Raw genomic sequence first — 27,494 nt, 5'->3', positions numbered from 1 at the left:
TCTGCACAACAAAAGAAACTATCATCAAGTGAACAGGCAACCTACAGAATGGGAGAAAATTTTTGCAATCTATCCATCTGACAAAGGCCTAATATCCAGAATCTACAAGGAACTTAAATTTACAAGAAAAAAACAAACAGCCCCATTTAAAAAGTGGGCAAAGGACACGAACAGACACTTCTCAAAAGAAGACATTTATGATGCCAACAAACATATCAAAAAAAGCTCAACATCACTGATCATTAGAGAAATGCAAATCAAAACCACAATAAGATACCATCTCACACCAGTCAGAATGGATATTATTAAGAAGTCAGCCAGGCACGGTGTCTCACTCTGTAATCCCAGCACTTTGGGAGGCTGAGGTGGGTAGATCACAAGGTCAACAGATCGAGACCATCCTGGCCAACATGGTGAAACCCTATCTCTACTAAAAATACAAAAACTAGCTGGGCATGGTGGCACACACCTGTAGTCCCAGCTACTCAGGAGGCTGAGGCAGAAGAATTGCTTGAACTGGGGAGGCATAAGTTGCAGTGAGCCGAGATCGCTCCACTGCACTCCAGCCTGGCAACAGAGCGAGACTTCGTCTCAAAACAAACAAAAAAAAAGTCAAGGAACAACAGATTCTGGCGAGGCTGTGGAGAAACAGGAACGCTTTGACACTGTTGGTGGGAATGTATATTAGTGCAACCATTGTGGAAGACAGTGTGGCGATTCCTCAAAGACCTAGAACCAGAAACACCATTTGACCCAGCAATCCCATTACTGGGTATATATACCCAATATAATATAAATCATTCTATTATAAAGATACATACACGTGTTATGTTCATTGCAGCACTATTCACAATAGCAAAGACATTGAATCAACCCAAATGCCCATCAAAGATAGACTGGATAAAGAAAATGTGGTACATATACAACATGGAATATGATGCAGCCATAAAAAGGAACGAGATGATGTCCTTTGCAGGGACATGGATGGAGCTGGAAGCCATTATCGTCAGCAAACTAACGCAGGAACACAAAACCAAACACTGCACGTAGTGGGAGCTGAACAATGAGAACACACGGATACAGGTAGGGGAACAATACACACTGGGGCCTGTCAGTGGGGAGGGTGGTGTGCGGGGAGAGGGAGAACATCAGGATAAATAGCTAATATATGTGGGGCTTAATACCTAGGTGATAGATTGATAGGTGCTGCAAACCACCATGGCACATATTTACCTACATAACAAACCTGCACATCCTGCACGTGTATCCTGGAACTTGAAACAAAATTAATTTTTAAAAAATAAAATAAAATAACAGGACATCTAAAAGGAATGGGGGTAATAAAATTAAGAAAAACGAAATGCAATTGTGAATACTTAGAGGAAGAGTATACCTCTCAGTAGGAGTAACATAAGAACTTAGAAGAAAAGTGAAGAAAAAGTACAAAAAATAAGCCATTATGCCGCTGTGAAATACCAATAGAAAGCCAAGATGTAAGGACATCTCTGTGAGAGCAGGAACTTTTTTTGTTCACTGCTATAAACAGAGCACCTAGGACAGTTCCTGTCTCTTATTAAATATGTGTCTTATGCATCTTTTGAGATTCAACCTCAGCTAGCTACTAGAATTTTGAGTCCATCTCTCTGCCTCAGCCTACTAATTGCTACATCAGCCTACCAGATATATACAGTTCAAATGACTCCATCACGTGAGGATAACCAGCTGCATGCCTAGAGTCTTTTTCTGCATTTACCATTTCCAGACTGGGATAAACAATGCTACTATACAGGGGATGGTATGAACAACAAACTGGAAGACAAAACACAAAAGGAAACCAGAGAGATAAATTATCTTCTTCCATCTGATGGCTTGCTCTAGGGCACAGTTTCTCAGTTCTTGGGTGGCTAAGTCAGTGACCTGATGTCTTCACGGTTTATCATGAAGCAATGGCCAGAACAACAATGCATTACCTCGAATTACTTTTTATCCTTCCCTGCCTCAGATTCTTGTACTTTTGCCCACTCTGTACTGGAAGTGAATCTCCCAAGTAATCAGTATGTAATCCGTGACTCAGGCCCTGTTTACTAGGCTATGTAAAAACAGTTGTTGAATGAATGAAATGAAAAAGATAATAAAAAAGGATTGATACAAAGAAAAAAAAATGCCATCATAGCTTTAAATCCATAATGAGAGTAGTTATAAGCAAAATCAAAGTTATGGAACATAAAATTGTTAGGTTCAAACTTGAGAAGTTCCTCTAGATACAGATCAAAGGGAATTAAGGACAATCTAGGTTAGTTGAAAGAGAAGATACTGAGAACCAACAATACTTCTTCCCACCTCATGAAGGATGTTAAGTTCTGTAGAATATATTTTACTGCTGAAATATAAATCTAATAATCTTTCAGTTACTAGTGATTGTTTTAGTCCATTTTTGTTACTTATAACAGAATCCCTAAAACTGGGTAATTTATAAAGAAAAAGGAATTTATTTCTTACAGTTATTCTTACAGAAGTCCAAGGTTGAAGGGTTCCATCTGCTGAGGACCTTCTTCCTCATGGGGACTCTATGCAGAGTCCTGAGGCAGTGCCAGACATCACATGGCAAAGAAGCTGAGCATACTAGCTCAGGTCTCTCTTCGTCTTATAAGGCCAACAGTCGCATTCCCATAATAACCCATTAATACCTGAGTGGATTAATTCATTCATGAGAATTGGATTAATTCATTCATGAAGGCAGAGCCCAATGTCCCACACTGAGGACTAAATTTCAACATGAACTTTGGATGGGACAAATATTCAAACCATTGCAGTGATGCTGTCTCAGGAGTTGAGTAGGCCATGTGATTAAATTAGGACTATCCCTTTAAAGACCAGGTTTGACAGGAAACACTAACAGAGGGTTTCGAGCAGCTGCTCTACATAATTCTGCAGGAAAAAAAAAAAAACCTGACACCTTCCAAAAACAAAGATCTATGGCTTCTTCACATTACATTTGCTTTTCTCTGTTCTAAGAACCAAACTGGAGCATCAGACTATAGTGGAAATAGGCTGTTCTCCTGGAAAAAGGTGAAAAGCAAAGGCAAATCAAACAACGGCTCCTTTAAAACATTTGCAAAGCCTCTCATTTCACTGGCCAAAATAAGTCACATGGCTAAATTGGATGCCAACAGGGGCAGAAAAGCATATGGTAGCAATAGGGAAGGCCCTGGTAAAAATGGGCTCATGAGATGAATCAAAACAAACAGGATGGAATGAACAAATCAAGAGTAAAAAAGTTTAGTGATGAACACTGAAGTACTATATAGAATTATGCCTAAACATCTGTGTTCACTGTGGTTATACAAGAGAAGATAAATGCTGTAATTCTTAAGATACAAATTGGGGGGAGTCAAAATGGTTGAATTTATGTGCTTATTTCCAGAGTATACAGAGCAGAGTGCCAAAATCAACTACAGATGAAATGTAGTTTAAAAAAAAATAATAACATGAATCGCCAAGGTTTTTCGTATCAGTTTGTTCTTAGTTTTAGAAAGATAGTGTTCCTTATAGAGAAAAAATAATTATCTAAGATGTAATAATCTCCTCAATTTCACATCAGAGAGCCTTATTGTTTCATTATATGAAAAAAAAACCTAAAATTATTAGTTACCAAAAGAACATGTGCAATATAGTCCCTTTTATTTAAAAACATCTGTCTACCCAATCTTCAATTTATAAATCAGGACTGAGAAAAATGTAGAACAATGCTCACAGAATTTTATGGCTGTTAATTCTCTAGGGATGCATTTTTAGTCTAACGTTTTTTTCTTTTACCTTCTTTGTACTTTTCTGTACTGCATGTATTTATTTTTACATAATTCACGTTTATCATTTATACCAAAATAACTATAGCACAGTTCACAGTAAAAACAAAACAACTTATTTTTATCCACCAAAAAAGCTGTACAGTAAAACTATATGCAGTAAAAGAAAAATCATTTGAAAATTATATGGGAAGGAAAAATTACATTTAAAATAGTAACAAGAAACATGAAAGAGCTAGGAATAAATTTGATGAGAAATGTTCAAAATCTGTTTGAGGAAAGACACAGAGGTAGACTGAAACAAATGGAATGACACACCACACTCTGGGACAAGAAGACTGAACATCATAAAGATGTCAATTCTTCTTAGATTATTGTAAATTTTATGTGCTACTAACATACCAAAGAAAAAATAAGCAAGTTTACTCTAAAGTTCATATGCAAAAACTAACAGGGAATAATGGCCAGAAAAGTTCTGAAAAAGAGTAGTAACTGAGAATGGGCCAGTCTTCATCATCTCTACTCTGCTTAGCCTAAGAGCCCAACCTCTCTACAGACTAGTTATACTGCTCCTTGTTCTCTGGCTGTGACTGAATTTCATCAGTTGGAGGCACTAGCTGGTGATTCCAGGGTAAAGGAGAAAGAGGTCCGGATATTTATTTACCCAGCTCACTCTCTGCTGAGCCACAGTTTGATAGTGCCTGTGTTCCTCTGTCTAAGGTTATTGGTCTTATTGGGCAGCTTCCGTCACAGGATACTAATTCTTGTCCCTTCTGGCTAAGGGTGGTAATGGTTTCCTGTTGTTGATAATCGATGGTCAGCATTTTCTGAATCTAATATCTATTCAGAGAGAACTGGTATCTTTATGATAGTGAGTCTTCCAAACCATGAACTTTGATATTTCCCTGAATATATTACACCTTCTATTTTTCTCAACATTTGTAGAATTCTCTGAATAGAGGTAATACACATTTTTCATTATATGTGCACTTCATACCTCCAGTAATATTGTAAATTCTTATTTCCTAATATGTTTCGCTGGTATAAAAGATGCAATTAAGTTTTATATACTGACCATGTATCCACCAAGCATGATAAACTTATTAGTTTAAACTATATATAAATTATTTTGGGTTCTCTACGTGAATTAATCATGTTTTACCAAATAACTAGGATTTCTGCTTTCATTTCTAGGTCTTATATCTTTTTATTCTTCTTTCCTTACTACATACTTGTTATTTCTGACTATGTGCTAGACCCTATTTTGTAAAACTTTAGATATAATTTAAGTCCAGATTATTTTATCATTCTCCAAAGAAAACTCACTTGCTTCTGCTAAGCATCTGAGAAAACCAGCAATCCAGATGTATTAATCCAATTTCAGGATTCTGTCTGAAGATTTTCTGAACCAAAATTATGACTGCACTGTCTTGACTCAATTTCTAACAAAAATTCTCATCTCAATTGTAGAACCATTAGGTAATGGTTCTACCCCATCTACCCCATCTAAACCAATCCCCCACAGATACCAAGGAATGACTGTATATACTTATTTATACTGTAACCTAGGCAAAAATCATTTGAGGTAGAGTTCACAAAAATATCCTTTAGCACAATGGGTGACAGGGATCAAATATTCAATAAAATATAAATGACTATGAACTTCAAAGAAGGAAATCCATACAGAAACAGTAGCTCCATCATTACCATCAGGTAAAAGTTTTGGTTAGGCAATTTAATTAGTTATCCTTTTTAATGCAATGGCTAGGTAAATATATTCATATGCTCTATACAGATTACAGACATGTACATCATTATATATGCATAGAGTTGGACTTCCATATCTGTGGTTTCTGCTTCCACAAATTCAACCAACAATAGATCAAAAACAGTAATTTTAAAAATATAACAACAAAACAATACAAACAAAAAATACAGTATAACAACTATTTATATAGCATTTACATTGTATTTGATACTATTAATATAAGCAATCTAAAGATTTGAAGTATACAGGAGGATGCACATAAGTTATGTGCAAATACTGCCATTTTATATCAAGGGCTTGAGCATCTGTAGATTTTAGTATCCATATTGAGGCCTGAAACCAATCCCCCACAGATACCAAGGAATGACTGTATATACTTATTTATACTGTAACCTAGGCAAAAATCATTTGAGGTAGAGTTCACAAAAATATCCTTTAGCACAATGGGTGACATGGATCAAATATTCAATAAAATATAAATGACTATGAACTTCAAAGAAGGAAATCCATACAGAAACAGTAGCTCCATCATTTATCAGTGAGGAAAAGTGTATCCAAATAAGAAAGTGCCTAGACCACTTTTTCCACAATTATGGCTTCATATGTCTTGATTACAACATAAAGATTCAATAAACTGGGACTGGTATATCATAACCACCCTCTCCCAGTGAAATAATGATGAAAGAAACAAGACACACAGTATATCCAACAGTAATCCTCATACAAGATAACTTAGGAGACACACTGTAGACATCTCAACTACTACCCTATAATGAGGATTCAAGAGAAAGTCCACTGCTCCAAACTACCAACTCTGTGCTATTATTCTTCTCCTCTGTGAGTCCTTATTTTCAAAATTTCAACTTTTATGTTAGATACAGGGGGTATATGTGTAGTACTATTACCTGGCTATATTGCTTGATGCTGACATTTGGGGTATGGATCCTGTTACCCAGGTGGTAAATATAGTATCCAACAGGTAGATTTTTCCACCCATGCACCCTCACTCCCTTCACCGTCTAGTAGTCCACAGTGTCTACTGCTCCTACGTTTATGTCGATGGGTACCCAATGTTTAGCTCTCACTTATAAGTGAGAACATGAAGTATTTGGTTTTTTGTTCCTGCATTAATTCACATAGGCCATATGCCTCTATAGGTCCTTATAATCAAACTCTTAGAATTACACATGGCCCACTAGCTATTATTCTTTTACTATTGTATAAGAAAAAGTGCATGCAAGGATATTCTTGCTTTATTTATAATAACTTACAGCTCTTGCAATACACTAAATTTAAATATACAAACTCACGCAAAATGTAGAAGAAAACATAGTTGTTATATCCCATGTCCTTAACACTGCACTGTATCCTAGAATGAACACCATGTTTGTTCTAATAGCCTAGCACCATCATACTCTAAAATGTAAAGGTCTTTGTTGAAATATTTTATGCAGTTCCAGATGTTATATTTTAAGAAGATTGACAATATGGAAAACAGTCAGAAAGGTAACCCAAAACATGATAACATCTGTGAAATATGTACATGGAGAGTTTATGTAAGAAATAGGAGTAGTTGATCAATTAGTGAAAAAATGTTGTCATTGATAAATGTCTGAGACCACTGAGCTATGTTACAGAATAGGGATTAGATGGTTTCTGAGATTCTCCAGATAATAAAACTACAATAAATGGGTGGGAATTATAAAAAGGCAAATTTCAACTAAGTACATGTAAAACAATGTTCAAAAATTTAAACAATATAAAATGAAAATAGCAGTCTTGAAAAGCATCAGAAACTTTTAAACTAAGTTTTCAAGGAAAGACTAAACGCTATGCAATCTTACTAGGAAGAGGATAAGAATAAATAATAATTTTTAAATTTCATCCAAATCTAAGATTCTATTCCTATTTAGAATTACTTTTCTGACTTCGTTATTGTTTTAAAAATAATTATAACATGAGTTGATATGTTAACCAGTCTATCATCTATAAAGTTTATACTTTTCCTCACCCTTATGATGAGAAAGTTTTTAAAATGTGATACAAGGAATCTGTTAATGTCCTAATTCATTTTAACTTTATTGGCTTCAGTAATGGTAAACAGTTTTCATCCAAACTAAATTCACAATGGCATATTTAAATTTACAAAACTGTATTTTGCCTAATGGAACTATAAAAACTACGTCATAAACAGCACTAACTTGACCCCCTTACCAATGCCCACTAACATGAAGGAAAATTCCCAGACAAGTTTTACCAAAGAACTCCACCCAATGTGTACCAGAATGGCAGTGATGTATCCATCATTTATTTATCACTTAGTTTTTAAATTAAAATAAATTATACAATCAAACTCTATTATATACCTCTAGAAGCATATCTTCGATCCCATGCTCTGGTGCTACCAAAATAAATAAACACATGCATGCAAAATAAATACAAACATGCATGCATGTCCTTTCATGCATGTGGATGGATGGATAGATAGAAAGATACATAGATAGATAGATAGATAGATAGATAGATAGATAGATAGATAGATAGATATTGATCTATGAACCAAGGAAAAGTTCTGTCTTAATTTATTCTCTCTCATACTATTTTCTGGAAAAGGTAATTACAAAGTAAATTAATAGTTTTAACATCTTTAAAAAACAGAAATACAAGAGTATCGTGCTTCCTTTTTCAAGTAATCCAACTTTATGAATAGTATTACAAAATCAATTATGTTGATATAGAAAGACTGCTTTAAAACAAACTATATAGAATATAATAAAATTAAAGTCAAAATTTGTTTCTCAGTTACTATTGTTCACTGTAACAATATGAGCATCATGTAACACATGGCTAGAAATGTTAGAAGAAAACAATGAATGAAAGCATTGCAATATCCTTGTTAAAAACTGAAACTAGGGTACCCCTTGACCATGCTCGTCCAATCCTGTAGACCCACTCATTCTTCCAGGCAATTTTTCAAGTTAGTGTAAATAACTCCAGATTCTCAATGCACAAACATATATAACCACAGAAAACATAGTTATTATTTTAGGGTGTTAGTAATAAGTATAAATGGTATCATTCTGAATAACTAATGACATTTCTATGATGTTAAATTAAAAATTGAATATACTTGCCTGACCAGGGTAATATCCATATCCTTCTGGATAAGTTCAGTCTGTTTATTACTCAACTGTAATGATAGAGCATTGTATTTACTCTGTGATACTTCAACTTCTTTCCTTGCTTCAATTAAATTGTCTTCAAAGGTCTAAAATTAGAGTGCTTATATCAATAATCAAACATAATAAATACTACATGTAACAAAACATCTGTTATATTTAATTATTCTACAAAATGACAGAGAAAAATAGTTTTAATTTTTTCACTTACTTAAAATAATTTTAACACAAACAATAACTTTTATACCAGTCACAGATTTTTTCTTTCAAAAACTTAAAAACATCATGGCCTCTTGGTGTAAAAGTTAAGAATCTGAAGCAAATAAACTAGAAGATATGTATAAAAAATGTAGTTATTAAATTATTGTACAATAAAGTAATACATTAGCTGAACAAAAATGAACTCATTTACTTCAACATTAATCACAACAAATTATAGACATTTACTTATTTCCCTGTTTTCTCTGTTTGAAGTGCAAATACACAGATACATTTCAAGAAGAAAGGACAGTGCTTCAAAGACATCAAAAAAGTTTTTCAGAGTTTGAGACTCAGATCGTGTTCAATTCTCTTGACTGTGGTGAAATTTACCTAAAGTTCTTGAAAGCTGATCTTTTCCTCCTGATCATTCTCTAAATATTTTTCATTGTGAAAGGATTTTAAAATTAGGTGTTTTAAATATATTATAAAATTAATTTTAATTACTTTTGCAAAGAACTAAATATATATCTAAATAAAGTATGCCAACAGAAACACCATACATTCATTATTTCCAAACATAAACACCAAGTTTTAGATAAAGCACTAGAAATTCCTAATTATCTGTAAAAAAAGAAAAGACAATGATAGATAAATAACAAAGGTTTATAAACAACTAGATGGAGGAAGGAGAGGAAGACAGAGGGGAGAAAATAAGGGCAGAAGGAGGGAGGGAGGGAAAGCAAGCCTTTTTAAAAACTTACTCTATCTTTGTGCCCAACATATACAGAGGTGGCAGATGTTCAACTACTGACAGTTAGGAGTAAATGTATTTTTATGCTTAGCAGGGGAAAGAATCCAAACTCAGAAAATGAAACTGGGGACTACAGAAGGGCTCTCATACTCTTAAAAAAGAAACCAAAAACAGATTATGACTATGGTCTGGAGACACAGAAGAAATTTTTTAACACACCACAGATAGGATCTGGGTAAAGCTGCTCATCTCAAGATTCAATCTGATTTCTGCCAAATATCAGGGAGGGACAAGATGCCTCAGGCTGGAAAGAAGATCTAGCTCCAGACTGAGGTACCAAAAAGTACCAGGAACCTCAAAATAGCTTAAAAGCGATAAACGAACACCAGGGTAGAAATAGAGGATGGTAAAACATTCCCATCAAGACACACCCTTCAAAATCTAACCTTCAAAAACAGAGTCAATGAAGTGAACAATCAGAAATAAACATTATCTGGCCAGGCGCAGTGACTCACGCCTGTAATCCCAGCACTTTAGGAGGCTGAGGCGGGCAGATCACGAGGTCAACTGATCGAGACTATCCTAGCCAACGTGGTGAAACCCCGCCTCTACTAAAAATGCAAAAATTAGTTGGGCATGGTGGCACGCACCTGTAGTCCCAGCTATTCAGGAGGCTGAGGCAAAAGAATCGCTTGAACCCAGGAGGCGGAGGTTGCAGTGAGCTGAAATCGCACCAAAGGAAAGAAAGGAAGGAAGGGAGGGAGGGAGGGAGGGAAAGAAAGGAAGGAAAGAAAGGACAGAAAGGAAAGAGAGAGGAAGGAAGGAAGGAAAAAAGGAAGGAAGGGAGGGAGGGAGGGGACACTATCCTAGCAAAATGCAAATATGGGAACCAATTCAAAAGGACTATAAATATACAGAATATACTAAAATAGACAAATATTATGAAGCAAAAATGGAACAACCAGGCAGCTAAAATGAAAAAACTACTATTTTACGTGAAGAGTAGACATAGAGGAACCAAATCAAAAATTATTGAAAATAATCCAGCCAAAGCTGATGGTGGCTTGATAAGTAATAACAGAGGTGATGAAGAGTCAAATTTAAAATATATTCTGAAGGTAAAAATGACAGGACCTGTTGATAAGTGTCTGTGGAGTTGCAAGATAAAAACAGGAATTAAAGATCTCTCGTAGGGATATGGCCTGGGAGCAAAGAGGTGAATGGTGGATCCATTCATCATGATAAAGCAGACTACAAGAAAGATAGGCTGAAAACAGAAATCCAAATGTCAGCTTCTGGTGGATATAATATATGTATTTTAATCATTAGAAAATACTAGAACAAGTTTTCCAGTAAGTATACAAATCTAGAACAATTTTCATGAAAAACCTAAATTACTAGAATGGAATCCAGAATAAGTAACAGAACTTCATTTGTAATACTAAGCAAAGAAAGAAAGAAAACGAAGGAGGAAAATGCACCCCTTAGTACAGGTGGTCCTAAAGCTAGCCCTCACACAGAATTCCAGCCTGGGTTTCCATTTTTGGAAGGTCAGTGAACCGCAAATCTGGTGCATGATTTATGGTGCGCCCCCACAAATCATGCTCCCAAGGTAAAAAACAAAAATAGTGCTGGGCGCGGTGGCTCACGCCTGTAATCCCAGCACTTTGGGAGGCTGAGGTGGGCAGATCACGAGGTCAGGAGATCGAGGCTAACATGGTGAAACCCCATCTCTACTAAAAACACAAAAAATTAGCCGGGCGTGGTGGCGGGTGCCTGTAGTCCCAGCTACTCCGGAGGCTGAGGCAGGAGAATGGTGTGAACCCGGAAGGCTGAGATTGCAGTGAGCCAAGATTGAGCCACTGCACTCCAGCCTGGGCGACAGAGCAAGACTCTGTCTCAAAAAAAAAAAAAAAAAAAAAGAACTCCTCTCTGAAGGAAATGCCCTTGATATTAATACAAAATTAAGGTAAAACTTTTCATTGTTTCCCACTATATCTTGTTCAGTTTTGAGCCATGCGACTATATTACACATTCTAAATTTAAAAATTCAAAAAAAGAAAAAATAGAAAATTTCAAAAGGATAATTTAAAATGTTACAAATATCAACACATTTAATCAATTATATGAAGCTGACTCAAAAAAACACCTTATCTGGTCCTAAAGGTTTAAAGGTAAGGTCTATAAACATTACAATAAATGAATAACCCCCATCTTGTGAGAAACATTACACAGAATTTTAAAAGGATGTTCTCAACTCATTTTATGAAATGACCTGTTATCCACGTTAGAAAGGGAAGGACATAAAAAGGAACATTTCAGGGCAATATCACTTAGGCATATAGATGCAAAAATCCAAAATAAGCTATACTAGTATTGAAGAAAGATTTGGGTAATTTATTGAGATGATTTGGTTCCAGAAATATAAGGATGCCTTAACATTAGAAAATCTGTTAATATAATTTACCACATTAAGAGATTAAAGGAAAAAAATATGAAGATGCCAATAGAGTCAGAAAAATCATCCAAAACAATCCAACACCTTACGATTTAAAAACAAAAACTAACAACAAAATAGGAATACAGAAGAATTTTCTTACTTTAGTAATATGAATGCCAAAAATCAGCAAATATCATAATTAATGGTGAAATGTTCATTAAAAAATCAAGAACAAACTGGTTTTATATTAAAATTGTCCTGGGGATTTTAGGTAATATACTAAGAGAAGGGAAAAAAGAACAGACATTAAATATATAAATATTAACAGAAAGAGTAAACCATTCTTATTAGCAGCCAATATGATCTTCCACCAAAAAAACAAAAACAAAGTGTAAGCACTTAGAGCTAGAGTTGAGCAAGATTATAAAAGATGACTGTGCAAAACTCAGATGATTTTCTATAAAACTAAACATTTACAATACCAACAAGAAACATAAAATAACCAGAAATAAATCTTAAAACAAATGTACAATATAATTATATGAAGTCAAAAACCAAAAACACTTGTGTAACTCACTTTATTACAATATTCCCTTTATTGTGGTGGTCTAGAACCAAAATAATGAAATAGAGGAGTAGAACAACACTACAGAACAAATGGAACTAAAAGAATAATACAGAATATTCCACTCAACAACAACAGAATATACATTCATCTTAATGGCACATGAAACATTCTCCATGACAGACCATAAAACAAGGCTCAACAATTTTTAAAATACTAAAATTATATAAAGTATTTTTTCTGATCACAATGTAATAAAACCAGAAATCAATTACAGAAGGAAAACTGGAAATTTTTCATCCACATGGAAATTAAGCAAAACATTCTTAAACAACCAATTGACCAAACAAGAGATCATGAAAGAAAGAAATTAGAAAATACCTTGAGACAAATAAAAATTAGAAAACATACCAAAACCAAAACTTCTGGGATGCAGAAAAAGGAATGGTAAGAGGCAAGTTTATAGCTGTTAAGTATGTAGTACATTAAAAAGGAAGAAAAATCTCAACAACCTAAATTTACACATTGGAAACAATTAGAAGAAGAACAAATTGAACCAAAAGTTAGCAGAAGAAAGGAAATAAGAAAGATTAGAGTAGTGGTTAATTAAATAACAAAACAATAGAAAAAAAATTTTAAATAAGAGTTGGATTTGGAAGAGATATTTAAAAATTGATACAGATGGAGCCAACATGGCCGAATAGGAACAGCTCCGGTCTACAGTTCCCAGCATGAGCGATGCAGAAGACAGGTGATTTCTGCATTTCCATCTGAGGTACCGGGTTCATCTCACTAGGGAGTGCCAGGCAGTGGGTGCAGGACAGTGGGTGCAGCGCACCGTGCGCTAGCCAGAGCAGGGCGAGGCATGGCCTAACTCGGGAAGCACAAGGGGTCAGGGAGTTCCCTTTCCTAGTCAAAGAAAGGGGTGACAGACAGCACCTGGAAAATCGGGTCACTCCCACCCTAATACTGCACTTTTCTGACGGGATTAAAAAACGGCACACCAGATTATAACCCGCACCTGGCTCAGAGGGTCCTACGCCCACAGAGTCTCGCTGATTGCTAGCACAGCAGTCTGAGACCAAACTGCAAGGTGGCAGCGAGGCTGGGGGAGGAGTGCCTGCCATTGCCCAGGCTTGATTAGGTAAACAAAGCAGCCCTGAAGCTGGAACTGGGTGGAGCCCAACCACAGCTCAAGGAGGCCTGCCTGCCTCTGTAGGCTCCACCTCTGGGGGCAGGGCACAGACAAACAAAAAGACAGCAGTAACCTCTGCAGACATAAATGTCCCTGTCTGACAGCTTTGAAGAGAGTAGTGGTTCTCGCAGCACGCGGCTAGAGATCTGAGAACGGGCAGACTGCCTCCTCAAGAGGGTCCCTGACCCCCGAGCAGCCTAACTGGGAGGCACCCCCCAGTAGGGGCAGACTGACAGACACCTCACATGGCCAGGTACTCCTCTGAGACAAAACTTCCAGAGGAACGATCAGGCAGCAGCATTTGCGGGTCACCAATATCCGCTATTCTAAAGCCACCGCTGCTGATACCCAGGCAAACAGGGTCTGGAGTGGACCTCTAGCAAACTCCAACAGACCTGCAGCTGAGGGTCCTGTCTGATAGAAGGAAAACTAACAAACAAAAAGCACATCCACACTAAAAACCCATCTGTAAGTCACCACCATCAAAGACCAAAAGTAGATAAAACCACAAAGATGGGGAAAAAACAGAGAAGAAAAACTGGAAACTCTAAAAACCAGAGCACCTCTCCTCCTCCAAAGGACAGAGCTCCTCACCAGCAACGGAACAAAGCTGGATGGAGAATGACTTTGACAAGTTGAGAGAAGAAGGCTTCAAACAGTCAAACTACTCCAAGCTACAAGAGGAAATTCAAACCAATGGGAAAGAAGTTAAAAGTTTGAAAAAAAAATTAGACGAATGGATAACTAGAACAACTAATGCAGAGAAGTCCTTAAAGAACCTGATGGAGCTGAAAACCAAGGCACAAGAGCTACGTGGACTGCAGAAGCCTCATTAGCCGATGCGATCAACTGGAAGAAAGGGTATCAGTGATGGAAGATGAAATGAATGAAATGAAGTGAGAAGAGAAGTTTAGAGAAAAAAGAATAAAAAGAAACGAACAAAGCCTCCAAGAAATATGGGACTATGTGAAAAGACCAAATCTACGTCTGATTGGTGTACCTGAAAGTGTCGGGGAGAATGGAACCAAGTTGGAAAACACTCTGCAGGATATTATCCAGGAGAACTTCCCCAATCTAGCAAGTTTGGCCAACATTCAGATTCAGGAAACACAGAGAACGCCACAAAGATACTCCTCGAGAAGAGCAACTCCAAGACACATAATTGTCAGATTCACCAAAGTTGAAATGAAGGAAAAAATGTTAAGGGCAGCCAGAGAGAAAGGTCGGGTTACCCACAAAGGGAAGCCCATCAGACGAACAGCGGAGCTCTCGGCAGAAACTCTACAAGCCAGAAGAGAGTGGGGGCCTATATTCAACATTCTTAAAAAAAATAATTTTCAACCCAGAATTTCATATCCAGCCAACCTAACCTTCATAAGTGAAGGAGAAATAAAATACTTTACAGACAAACAAATGCTGAGAGATTTTGTCACCACCAGGCCTGCCCTAAAAGAGCTCCTGAAGGAAGCACTAAACATGGAAAGGAACAACCGGTACCAGCCACTGCAAAAACATGCCAAAATGTAAAGACCATCAAGGATAGGAAGAAACTGCATCAACTAACGAGCAAAATAACCAGCTAACATCATAATGACAGGCCCAAATTCACACATAACAACATTAACTTTAAATGTAAATGGGCAACATGCTCCAATTAAAAGACACAGACTGGCAAATTGGATAAAGAGTCAAGACCCATCAGTGTGCTGTATTCAGGAAACCCATCTCATGTGCAGAGACACACATAGGCTCAAAATAAAGGGATGGAGAAAGATCTACCAAGCAAATGGAAAACAAAAAAAGGCAGGGGTTGCAATCCTAGTCTCTGATAAAACAGACTTCAAACCAACAAAGATCAAAAGAGACAAAGAAGGCCATTACATAATGGTAAAGGGATCAATTCAACAACAAGAGCTCACTATCCTAAATATATATGCACCCAATACAGGAGCACCCAGATTCATAAAGCAAGTCCTGAGTAACCTACAAAGAGACTTAGACTCCCACACAATAATAATGGGAGACTATAACATCCCACCGTCAACACTAAACAGATCAACGAGACAGAAAGTTAACAAGGATACCCAGGAATTGAACTCAGCTCTGCACCAAGCAGACTTAATAGACATCTACAGAACTCTCCACCCCAAATCAACAGAATATACATTTTATTCAGCAGCACACCACACCTATTCCAAAATTGACCACATACTGGGAAGCAAAGCTCTCCTCAGCAAATGTAAAAGAACAGAAATTATAACAAACTGTCTCTCAGACCACAGTGCAATCAAACTAGAACTCAGGATTAAGAAACTCACTCAAAACCACTCAACTACATGGAAACTCAACAACCTGGTCCTGAGTGACTACTGGGTACATAATGAAATGAAGGCAGAAATAAAGATGTTATTTGAAACCAATGATAACAAAGACACAGCATACCAGAATCTCTGGAACACATTCAAAGCAGTGTGTAGAAGGAAATTTATAGCACTAAATGCCCAAAAGAGAAAGCAGGAAGATCCAAAACTGACACCCTAACTTCACAATTAAAAGAACTAGAGAAGCAAGAGCAAACACATTCAAAAGCTAGCAGAAGGCAAGAAATAACTAACATCAGAGCAGAACTGAAGGAAATAGAAACACAAAAAGCCCTTCAAAAAATTAATGAATCCAGGAGCTGGTTTTTTGAAAAGATCAACAAAATTGATAGACCGCTAGCAAGAATAATAAAGAAAAAAAGAGAGAAGAATCAAATAGATGCAATAAAAAATGATAAAGGGGATATCACCACCGATCCCACAGAAATACAAACAACCATGAAAGAATACTACAAACACCTCTAAGCAAATAAACCAGAAAATGTAGAAGAAATGGATAAATTCCTCGACACATACACTCTCCCAAGACTAAACCAGGAAGAAGTTGAGTCTCTGAATAGACCAATAACAGGCTCTGAAATTGTGGCAATAATCAATAGCTTACCAACCAAAAAGAGTCCAGGACCAGATGGATTCACAGCCGAATTCTACCAGAGGTACAAAGAGGAGCTGGTACCACTCCATCTGAAACTATTCCAATCAATAGAAAAAGAGGGAATCCTCCCTCATTTTATGAGGCCAGCATCATCCTCAAACCAAAGCCTGGCAGAGACACAACAAAAAAAAGAGAATTTTAGACCAATATCCTTGATGAACATTGATGTAAAAATCCTCAATAAAATACTGGCAAACCGAATCCAGCAGCACATCAAAAAGCTTATCCACCATGATCAAGTGGGCTTCATCCCTAGAATGCAAGGCTGTTACAACATACGCAAATCAATAAGTGTAATCCAGCATATAAACAGAACTAAAGACAAAAACCACATGATTATCTCAAAAGATGCAGAAAAGGCCTTTGACAAAATTCAACAATGCTTCATGCTAAAAACTCTCAATAAATTAGGTATTGATGGGACGTATTTCAAAATAATAAGAGCTATCTATGACAAACCCACAGCCAATATCATACTGAATGGGCAAAAACTGGAAGCATTCCCTTTGAAAACTGGCACAAGACAGGGATGCCCTCTCTCACCACTCCTATTCAACATAGTGTTGGAAGTTCTGGCCAGGGCAATTAGGCAGGAGAAGGAAATAAAGGGTATTCAATTAGGAAAAGAGGAAGTCAAATTGTCCCTGTTTGCAGATGACATGATTCTATATCTAGAAAACCCCATTGTCTCAGCCCCAAATCTCCTTAAGCTGATGAGCAACTTCGGCAAAGTCTCAGGATACAAAATCAATGTACAAAAATCACAAGCATTCTTATACACCAACAACAGACAAACAGAGAGCCAAATCATGAGTGAACTCACATTCACAATCGCTTCAAAGAGAATAAAATACCTAGGAATCCAAATTACAAGGGATGTGAAGGACCTCTTCAAGGAGAACTACAAACCACTGCTCAATGAAATAAAAGAGGATACAAATGGAAGAACATTCCATGTTCATGGGTAGGAAGAATCAATATCGTGAAAATGGCCATACTGCCCAAGGTAATTTATAGATTCAATGTCATCCCCATCAAGCTACCAATGACTTTCTTCACAGAATTGGAAAAAACTACTTTAAAGTTCATATGGAACCAAAAGAGAGCCCACATCACCCAGTCAATCCTAAGCCAAAAGAACAAAGCTGAAGGCATCATGATACCTGACTTCAAACTATACTACAAGGCTACAGTAACCAAAACAGCATGGTACTGGTACCAAAACAGAGATATAGATCAATGGAACAGAACAGAGCCCTCAGAAATAACGCTGCATATCTACAACTATCTGATCTTTGACAAACCTGAGAAAAACAAGCAATGGGGAAAGGATTCCCTATTTAATAAGTGGTGCTGGGAAAACTGGCTAGCCATATGTAGAAAGCTGAAACTGGATCCCTTCCTTACACCTTATACAAAAATCAATTCAAGATGGATTAAAGACTTAAATGTTAGACCTAAAACCATAAAAACCCTAGAAGAAAACCTAGGCAATACCATTCAGGACATAGGCATGGGCCAGGACTTCATGTCTGAAACAACAAAAGCAATGGCAACGAAAGCCAAAATTGACAAATGGGATCTAATTAAACTAAAGAGCTTCTGCACAGCAAAAGAAACTATCATCAGAGTGAACAGGCAACCTACAAAATGGGAGAAAATTTTCGCAACCTACTCATCTGACAAAGGGCTAATATCCAGAATCTACAATGAACTCAAACAAATTTACAAGAAAAAAACAAACAACCCCATCAAAAAGTGGGCGAAGGATATGAACAGACACTTCTCAAAAGAAGACATTTATGCAGCCAAGAAACACATGAAAAAATGCTCATCATCACTGGCCATCAGAGAAATGCAAATCAAAACCACAATGAGATACCATCTCACACCAGTTAGAATGGTGATCATTAAAAAGTCAGGAAACAACAGGGGCTGGAGAGGATGTGCAGAAATAGGAACACTTTTACACTGTTGGTGGAACTGTAAACTAGTTCAACCATTGTGGAAGTCAGTGTGGCAATTCCTCAGGGATCTAGAACTAGAAATACCATTTGACCCAGCCATCCCATTACTGGGTATACACCCAAAGGATTATAAATCATGCTGCTATAAAGACACATGCACACATATGTTTATTGTGGTACTATTCACAATAGCAAAGACTTGGAACCAATCCAAATGCCCAACAAAGACAGACTGGATTAAGAAAATGTGGCACATATACACCATGGAATACTATGCAGCCATAAAAAATGATGAGTTCATGTCCTTTGTAGGGACATGGATGAAAGTGGAAACCATCAATCTCAGCAAACTATCGCAAGGACAAAAAGCCAAACACCACATGTTCTCACTCACTGGTGGGAATTGAACAATGAGATCACATGGACACAGGAAGGGGAACATCACACTCCGGGGACTGTTGTGGGGTGGGGGGAGGGGGGAGGGATAGCATTAGGAGATATACCTAATGCTAAATGACGACTTAATGGGTGCAGCACACCAACATGGCACATGTATACATATGTAACAAACCTGCACGTTGTGCACATGTACCCTAAAACTTAAAGTATAATAATAATAAAATTAAAAAAATTGATAAACCTTTAGATAAATTAGATTTTAAAACTCAATTATAAAATAGAATTAAAAACAAAACCATATGATCATCTCAATAGACACAGAGAAGCTTTTGATAAAATCTAACAACCCTTCATGATAAAAACTCTCGACAAACTAGGTATTGACGGAACACACCCCAAAATACTACGAGCCATCTACGACAAACCCACAGCCAACATCATACTGATCATACTGGCAAAAGCTGGAAGCATTCCCTTTAAGAACTGGAAAAATACAGAGATACCTAATCTTTCTTTTCTTTATTTTATTTTTTTTAAGTTCTCAGATACATGTGCAGATCGTGAAGGTTTGTTGCATGGGTATACATGTGCCATGATGTTTGCTGCACTCATCAACCCATCAACTAGGTGTTAACCCCGAAATATGCATTAGGTATTTGTCGTAATGCTCTCCCTCCCCTTCCCCACTACCCCACAACAGGCATCAGTGTATGATGCTCCCCTTCCTGTGTTCATGTGTTCTCATTGTTCAACTCCCACTTATGAGTGAGAACATGCAGTGCTGGTTTTCTGTTCCTGTGTTAGTTTGCTGAGGATGATAGCTTCCATCTTCATCCATGTCCCTGCAAAGGATGTGAACTCATTCTCTTTTATGGCTGCATAGTATTCCATGGTGTATATCTACCACATTTTCTTTATCCAGTCTATCACTGATGGGCATTTGGGTTGGTTCCAAGTCTTTGCTATTGTACATAGTGCTGCAATAAACATACGTGTGCATGTGTCTTTATAGTAGAATGATTTATAACCCTTTGAGTATATACCCAGTAACGGTATTGCTGGGTCAAATGGTGTTCCTGGTTCTAGATCCCTGAGGAATCGCCACACTGTCTTCCACAATGGTTGAACTAATTTGCACTCCCACCATCAGTGTAAAAGTGTTTCTATTTCTCCATAGCACTGCCAGCATCTGTTGTTTCCTAACTTTTTAATAATCGCTGTTCTAACTGGCGTGAGATGGTATCTCATAGTGGTTTTGATATGCATTTCTCTAATGACTACTGATAAGCTTTTTTCCTATGTTTGTTGGCATCATAAATGTCCACTTTTGAAGGAGAAGTGTCTGTTCATGTCCTTCGCCTACTTTTTGATGGGGTTGTTTTTTACTTGTAAATTTGTTTAAGTTCCTTGTAGATTCTGGATACCTTTGTCAGAATGGTAGATTGCAAACATTTTCTTTCATTCTGTAGGTTGACTGTTCACTCTGATGCTAGTTTCTTCTGCTGTGCAGAACCTCTTTAGTTTAATTAGAAGCCATGCCCACTCTTACCACTCCTATTCAACATAGTACTAGAAGTCCTAGCCAGAGCAATCAGTCAAGAGAAAAAAATAAATGACATACAAATAGGAAAAGAAGTCACGTTACCCCTTGTCACTGATGATATGATTCTATACATAGAAAACCCTACAAATTCCACCAAAAGTCTCCTAGGGAATACATAATTTCAGTAAAGTTTCAGGATACAAAAATCAATGCACAAAAATCAGCAGCATTTCTAAATCCCAATAATGTTCAAGCTGCAAAGCAAATCAAACACAATCCCATTTACAATAGCCACAAAAAATAACAAAATACCCAGGAGTACATCTAAACAAGAAGGTGAAAGATCTTTACAAGAAGAAGTACAAAACACTGATAAGAGAAATCATAGATGACACAAACCAATTGAAAAATATGCCATGCTCATGGATTGGAAGAATCAATATCATTAAGATGGCCCTACTCCATGAAGGAATCTACAAATTCGATGCTATTCTTACCAAACTACCAACGTCACTTTTGACAGAATTACAAAAACTATTCCAAAATTTATATGAAACCAAAAAGCCCAATTAGACAAAGCAATCCTAAGCAAAATGAACAAAGCCAGATGCATCACATTATCCAACCTCAAACTATACTACAGGGCTACAGTAACCAAAATAGCATGGTACTATTGGTACAAAAACAGACACAGAGACCAATGGAACAGAATAGAGAACCCAGAAATAAAGTTGCACACCTACAATTACCTGATCCTTAACAAAGCTGACAAAAACATGAAATGGGGAAAAGACCCCCTATTCAATAAATGGTGCTGAGATAACTGGCTAGCCAAATGCGGAAGATTGAAACTGGACCCCTTCCTTACACCATACTCAAGATGGATTAAAGACTTAAATATGAAAACAAAAGCTAAAAAAACCTTTGAAGACCACCTAGGCAATACCATTCTGGACACAGGAACTGGCAAAGATTTTATGATGAAGACATCAAAAGCAACTGCAACAAAAATTGACAAATGGGATCTAATTAAACTAAAGAGCTTCTGCATAGCTAAAGAGCTTCTGCATAGCAAGAGAAACTATCAAAGAGTAAACAGTCAACATACAGAATGGGAGAAAATTTTCACAAATTATGCATCTAACAGGGTTCTAACATCCAGGTTTAACATCCAGAAACCATAAGAAACTTAAGTCAACAAGCAAAAAAACAAATGATCCCATTAAAAAGTGGGCAAAGAACATAAACAGACACTTGTCAAAAGAAGACATACAGAATATACATTTTTTTCAGCACCACACCACACCTATTCCAAAATTGGCCACATATTTGGAAGTAAAGCTCTCCTCAGCAAATGTAAAAGAACAGAAATTATAAAAAACTATCTCTCAGACCACAGTGCAATCAAACTAGAACTCAGGATTAAGAAACTCACTCAAAACCGCTCAACTACATGGAAACTGAACAACCTGCTCCTGAATGACTACTGGGTACATAACGAAATGAAGGCAGAAATAAAGATGTTCTTTGAAACCAAAGAGAACAAAGACATAACATACCAGAATCTCTGGGACGCATTCAAAGCAGTGTGTAGAGGGAAATTTATAGCACTAAATGCCCACAAGAGAAAGCAGGAAAGATCCAAAATTGACACCCTAACATCACAATTAAAAGAACTAGAAAAGCAAGACCAAACACATTCAAAAGCTAGCGGAAGGCAAGAAATAACTAACATCAGAGCTGAACTGAAGGAAATAGAGACACAAAAAACCCTTCAAAAAATTAATGAATCCAGGAGCTGGTTTTTTGAAAGGATCAACAAAATAGATAGACCGCTAGCAAGAATAATAAAGAAAAAAAGAGAGAAGAATCAAATAGATGCAATAAAAAATGATAAAGGGGATATCACCAGCGATCCCACAGAAATATAAATTACCATCAGAGAATACTACAAACACCTCTACGCAAATAAACTAGAAAATCTAGAAGAAATGGATAAATTCCTCGACACATACACTCTCCCAAGACTAAACCAGGAAGAAGCTGAGTCTCTGAATAGACCAATAACAGGATCTGAAATTGTGGCAATAATCAACAGCTTACCAACAAAAAAGAGTCCAGGACCAGATGGATTCACAGCCGAATTCTACCAGAGGTACAAGGAGGAACTGGTACCATTCCTTCTGAAACTATTCCAATCAATAGAAAAAGAGGGAATCCTCCCAAACTCATTTTATGAGGCCAGCATCATTCTGATACCAAAGCCGGGCAGAGATACAACAAAAAAAGAGAATTTTAGACCAATATCCCGGATGAACATTGATGCAAAAATCCTCAATAAAATACTGGCAAACTGAATCCAGCAGCACATCAAAAAGCTTATCCACCATGATCAAGTGGGCTTCATCCCTGGGATGCAAGGCTGGTTCAATATACGCAAATCAATAAATGTAATCCAGCATATAAACAGAACCAAAGACAAAAACCACATGATTATCTCAATAGATGCAGAAAAGGCCTTTGTACAAAATTCAACAACCCTTCATGCTAAAAACTCTCAATAAATTAGGTATTGATGGGACGTATTTCAAAATAATAAGAGCTATCTATGACAAACCCACAGCCAATATCATACTGAATGGGCAAAAACTGGAAGCATTCCCTTTGAAAACTGGCACAAGACAGGGATGCCCTCTCTCACCACTCCTATTCAACATAGTGTTGGAAGTTCTGGCCAGGCAATCAGGCAGCAGAAGGAAATAAAGGGTATTCAATTAGGAAAAGAGGAAGTCAAATTGTCCCTGTTTGCAGATGACATGAATGTATATCTAGAAAACCCCACTGTCTCAGCCCAAAATCTCCTTAAGCTGATAAGCAACTTCAGCAAAGTCTCAGGATACAAAATCAATGTACAAAAATCACAAGCATTCTTATACACCAACAACAGACAAACAGAGAGCCAAATCATGAGTGAACTCACATTCACAACTGCTTCAAAGAGAATAAAATACCTAGGAATCCAAATTACAAGGGATGTGAAGGACCTCTTCAAGGAGAACTACAAACCACTGCTCAATGAAATAAAAGAGGATACAAATGGAAGAACATTCCATGTTCATGGGTAGGAAGAATCAATATCGTGAAAATGGCCATACTGCCCAAGGTAATTTACAGATTCAATGCCATCCCCATAAATCTACCAATGACTTTCTTCACAGAATTGGAAAAAACTACTTTAAAGTTCATATGGAACCAAAAGAGAGCCCGCATCGCCAAGTCAATCCTAAGCCAAAAGAACAAAGCTGAAGGCATCATGATACCTGACTTCAAACTATACTACAAGGCTACAGTAACCAAAACAGCATGGTACTGGTACCAAAACAGAGATATAGATCAATGGAACAGAACAGAGCCCTCAGAAATAACGCCGCATATCTACAACTATCTGATCTTTGACAAACCTGAGAAAAACAAGCAATGGGGAAAGGATTCCCTATTTAATAAATGGTGCTGGGAAAACTGGCTAGCCATATGTAGAAAGCTGAAACTGGATCCCTTCCTTACACCTTATACAAAAATCAATTCAAGATGGATTAAAGACTTAAACGTTAGACCTAAAACCATAAAAACCCTAGAAGAAAACCTAGGCAATACCATTCAGGACATAGGCATGGGCAAGGACTTCATGTCTGAAACAACAAAAGCAATGGCAACAAAAGACAAAATTGACAAATGGGATCTAATTAAACTAAAGAGCTTCTGCACAGCAAAAGAAACTACCATCAGAGTGAACAGGCAACCCACAAAATGGGAGAAAATTTTTGCAACCTACTCATCTGACAAAGGGCTAATATCCAGAATCTACAATGAACTCAAACAAATTTACAAGAAAAAAACAAACAACCCCATCAAAAAGTGGGCAAAGGACATGAACAGACACTTCTCAAAAGAAGACATTTATGCAGCCAAGAAACACATGAAAAAATGCTCATCATCACTGGCCATCAGAGAAATGCAAATCAAAACCACAATGAGATACCATCTCACACCAGTTAGAATGGTGATCATTAAAAAGTCAGGAAACAACAGGTGCTGGAGAGGATGCGGAGAAATAGGAACACTTTTACACTGTTGGTGGGACTGTAAACTAATTCAACCATTGTGGAAGTCAGTGTGGCGATTCCTCAGGGATCTAGAACTAGAAATACCATTTGACCCAGCCATCCCATTACTGGGTATATACCCAAAGGACTATAAATCATGCTGCTATAAAGACACATGCACACCTATGTTTACTGCGGCATTATTCACAATAGCAAAGACTTGGAACCAACCCAAATGTCCAACAATGATAGACTGGATTAAGAAAATGTGGCACATATACACCATGGAATACTATGCAGCCTTAAAAAATGATGAGTTCATGTCCTTTGTAGGGACATGGATGACATTGGAAATCATCATTCTCAGTAAACTATCGCAAGAACAAAATACCAAACACCGCATATTCTCACTCATAGGTGGGAATTGAACAATGAGATCACATGGACACAGGAAGGGGAACATCACACTCTGGGGACTGTTGTGGGGTGGGAGGAGGGGGGAGGGATAGCATTAGGAGATATACCTAATGCTAGATGACGAGTTAGTGGGTGCAGTGCACCAGCATGGCACATGTATACATATGTAACTAACCTGCACAATGTGCACATGTACCCTAAAACTTAAAGTATAATAATAAAAAAAAAATGTTAAACAAAATGTATAGGAGGTCATTGGTCTGGACTGAGCTCCTGCACTAGGCCCAACAAACCAAACCAAAATGGAATCATTCATTCTGAAGTTCCAGGCCACCAAGCAGAAACTAAATTATTTGACCTTCCAAAAAATCAAGAGAGAGAAACAGTCAAATATCGAAACAGGCCAGTGAAAACTGGATAAAGAAATCCCCAAATCCCCTCTGCTTTGAGTTGTACAAGAAAAGTAACTTTTAAACGACATTTTGTTTTCTGTTTCTGCTTTTCTCTGCCCTTTTCTGTCTATAAAACCAACCTCCCCAGATCGGCTCATTTGAATACACATTCTGCCTTACAGAATGAGTTGCTGCATGATTCTAGAATTGCAAATAAAAGACAACTAAGAGCTTTACACTAAAAAAAAAAAGAGAAGACATACAAACAGCCAACAATCATGAAAGAAATGCTCAAAATCACTAATCATCAGAGAAATGCAAATCAGAAACACAATGAGATACCATCTCACACCAATCATAATGGCTTTTACTAAACAGTCAAAAATAACAGATGTTGGAGAAGCTGTGGAGAAAAGGCAATGTTTATACATTGTTGGTAGGTTTGAAAATTAGTTCAGTCACTGTGGAAAGCAGTTTGGAGATTTCTCAAAGAGCTAAAAATAAAAATAGAACTACCATTTGATCCAGCAATCCCATTACTGGGATTACTCAGTAGCCAAAGAAAAATAAATTTTTCTACCAAAAACACACATGTATTTGTATATGCATCACAACAGAATAGCAAAGACATGGAATCAACCTAGGTGACCATCAATAGCAGACTGGATAAATAAAATATAATACATATACACTATGGAATACTATGTAGCAGTTAAAAAAATCATATCCTTTTCAGCAATATGGATTTAGCTGGAAGCCATTATCCTCAGCAAAGTGATGCAGAAATGGAAAACTAAGAATACTAAGAACAACTGTATTCTAACAAATACAAAACTGTATTCTAAAAAATCTGTATTCTAACAAATACAAAATTGTATTCTAACACATTGGATAATCCAAAGGAAGTATATACAATCCTAGAAACACACTTATGAAAACTGAAATATGAAAAAACAGAAAATCTGACAGAACAGTAACTTGTAAGAAGACTGAATCAGTAATCAAAAACCTATCAACAAAGCATGGGTCTAGATGGTTTCACTGGATAATTCTACCAAAAATTTAAAGAATTAACACCAATCCTCCTCAAACTCTACCAATAACTGAAGTACGGAGAGTATTTTCAAGCTCCTTCTATGAGGAGAGCATCATCCTGATACCAACGCTAGAAAACAACACTAGAAGAAAACTAGAGACCAATTATCTGATGAATATTGATGCACAAATCATAAACAAAATACTAGCAAAAAAGGTTACATAACATGACCAAGTGGAATTTATGCCTTGAATGCAAGGGGAATTGAAACATACAAAATTCAATTTATGAAATAAACCACGATGAAAGAATAAAAGACAAAAATCATACAAGCATTTCACTCGATACAGAAAAAACATTTGACAAGATTGAACACCCTTTCATGATTAAAAGAACACCCACCAACTAGGAATAGAAGGAAGCTACTTCAACATAACAAAGGCCAAATACAAAAAGCCTATAGCTAACATCATACTCAATAGTGAAAGACTAAAAGCTTTTTCTCTAAGATCAGGAACAAGATGAGGTTGCCCACTCTCACCACTCCTATTCAACATAGTATTTATTTAATGTCCTAGCCAGAGCAACTATGCAAGAAAAATAAAAGGCATCCTAATCAAAAAGGCAGAAGTAAAATTATCTCTTGTTGCTGATGGCATGTATATGTAGAAAACCTTAAGATTCTATACACTAACA

General features: G+C 36.9%; 1 protein-coding gene across 16 annotated transcripts in view; it reads right to left on the bottom strand.

The window, feature by feature from the left end:
* The window catches only part of CNTLN (centlein), a 393,595-nt gene that overhangs the window by 246,060 nt on the left and 120,041 nt on the right, over nucleotides 1–27,494 (bottom strand). For all 16 annotated transcript variants that reach the window (XR_007061321.1, XR_007061322.1, XR_929282.3 and 13 more), the window contains exon 6: nucleotides 8,709–8,842. Coding sequence is in view for 13 of the 16 variants with exons in the window: in XM_017014839.2 (XP_016870328.1) it covers nucleotides 8,709–8,842 (134 nt within the window). In the remaining 3 variants the exon portion in view is untranslated. The remainder of the gene's footprint in view (nucleotides 1–8,708; nucleotides 8,843–27,494) is intronic.

This window comes from Homo sapiens, chromosome 9 (genome assembly GCF_000001405.40).
Source record: "Homo sapiens chromosome 9, GRCh38.p14 Primary Assembly".
NCBI classification, from domain to species: Eukaryota; Metazoa; Chordata; class Mammalia; order Primates; family Hominidae; genus Homo; species Homo sapiens.
This window is presented reverse-complemented; position numbering and strand designations above follow the sequence as displayed.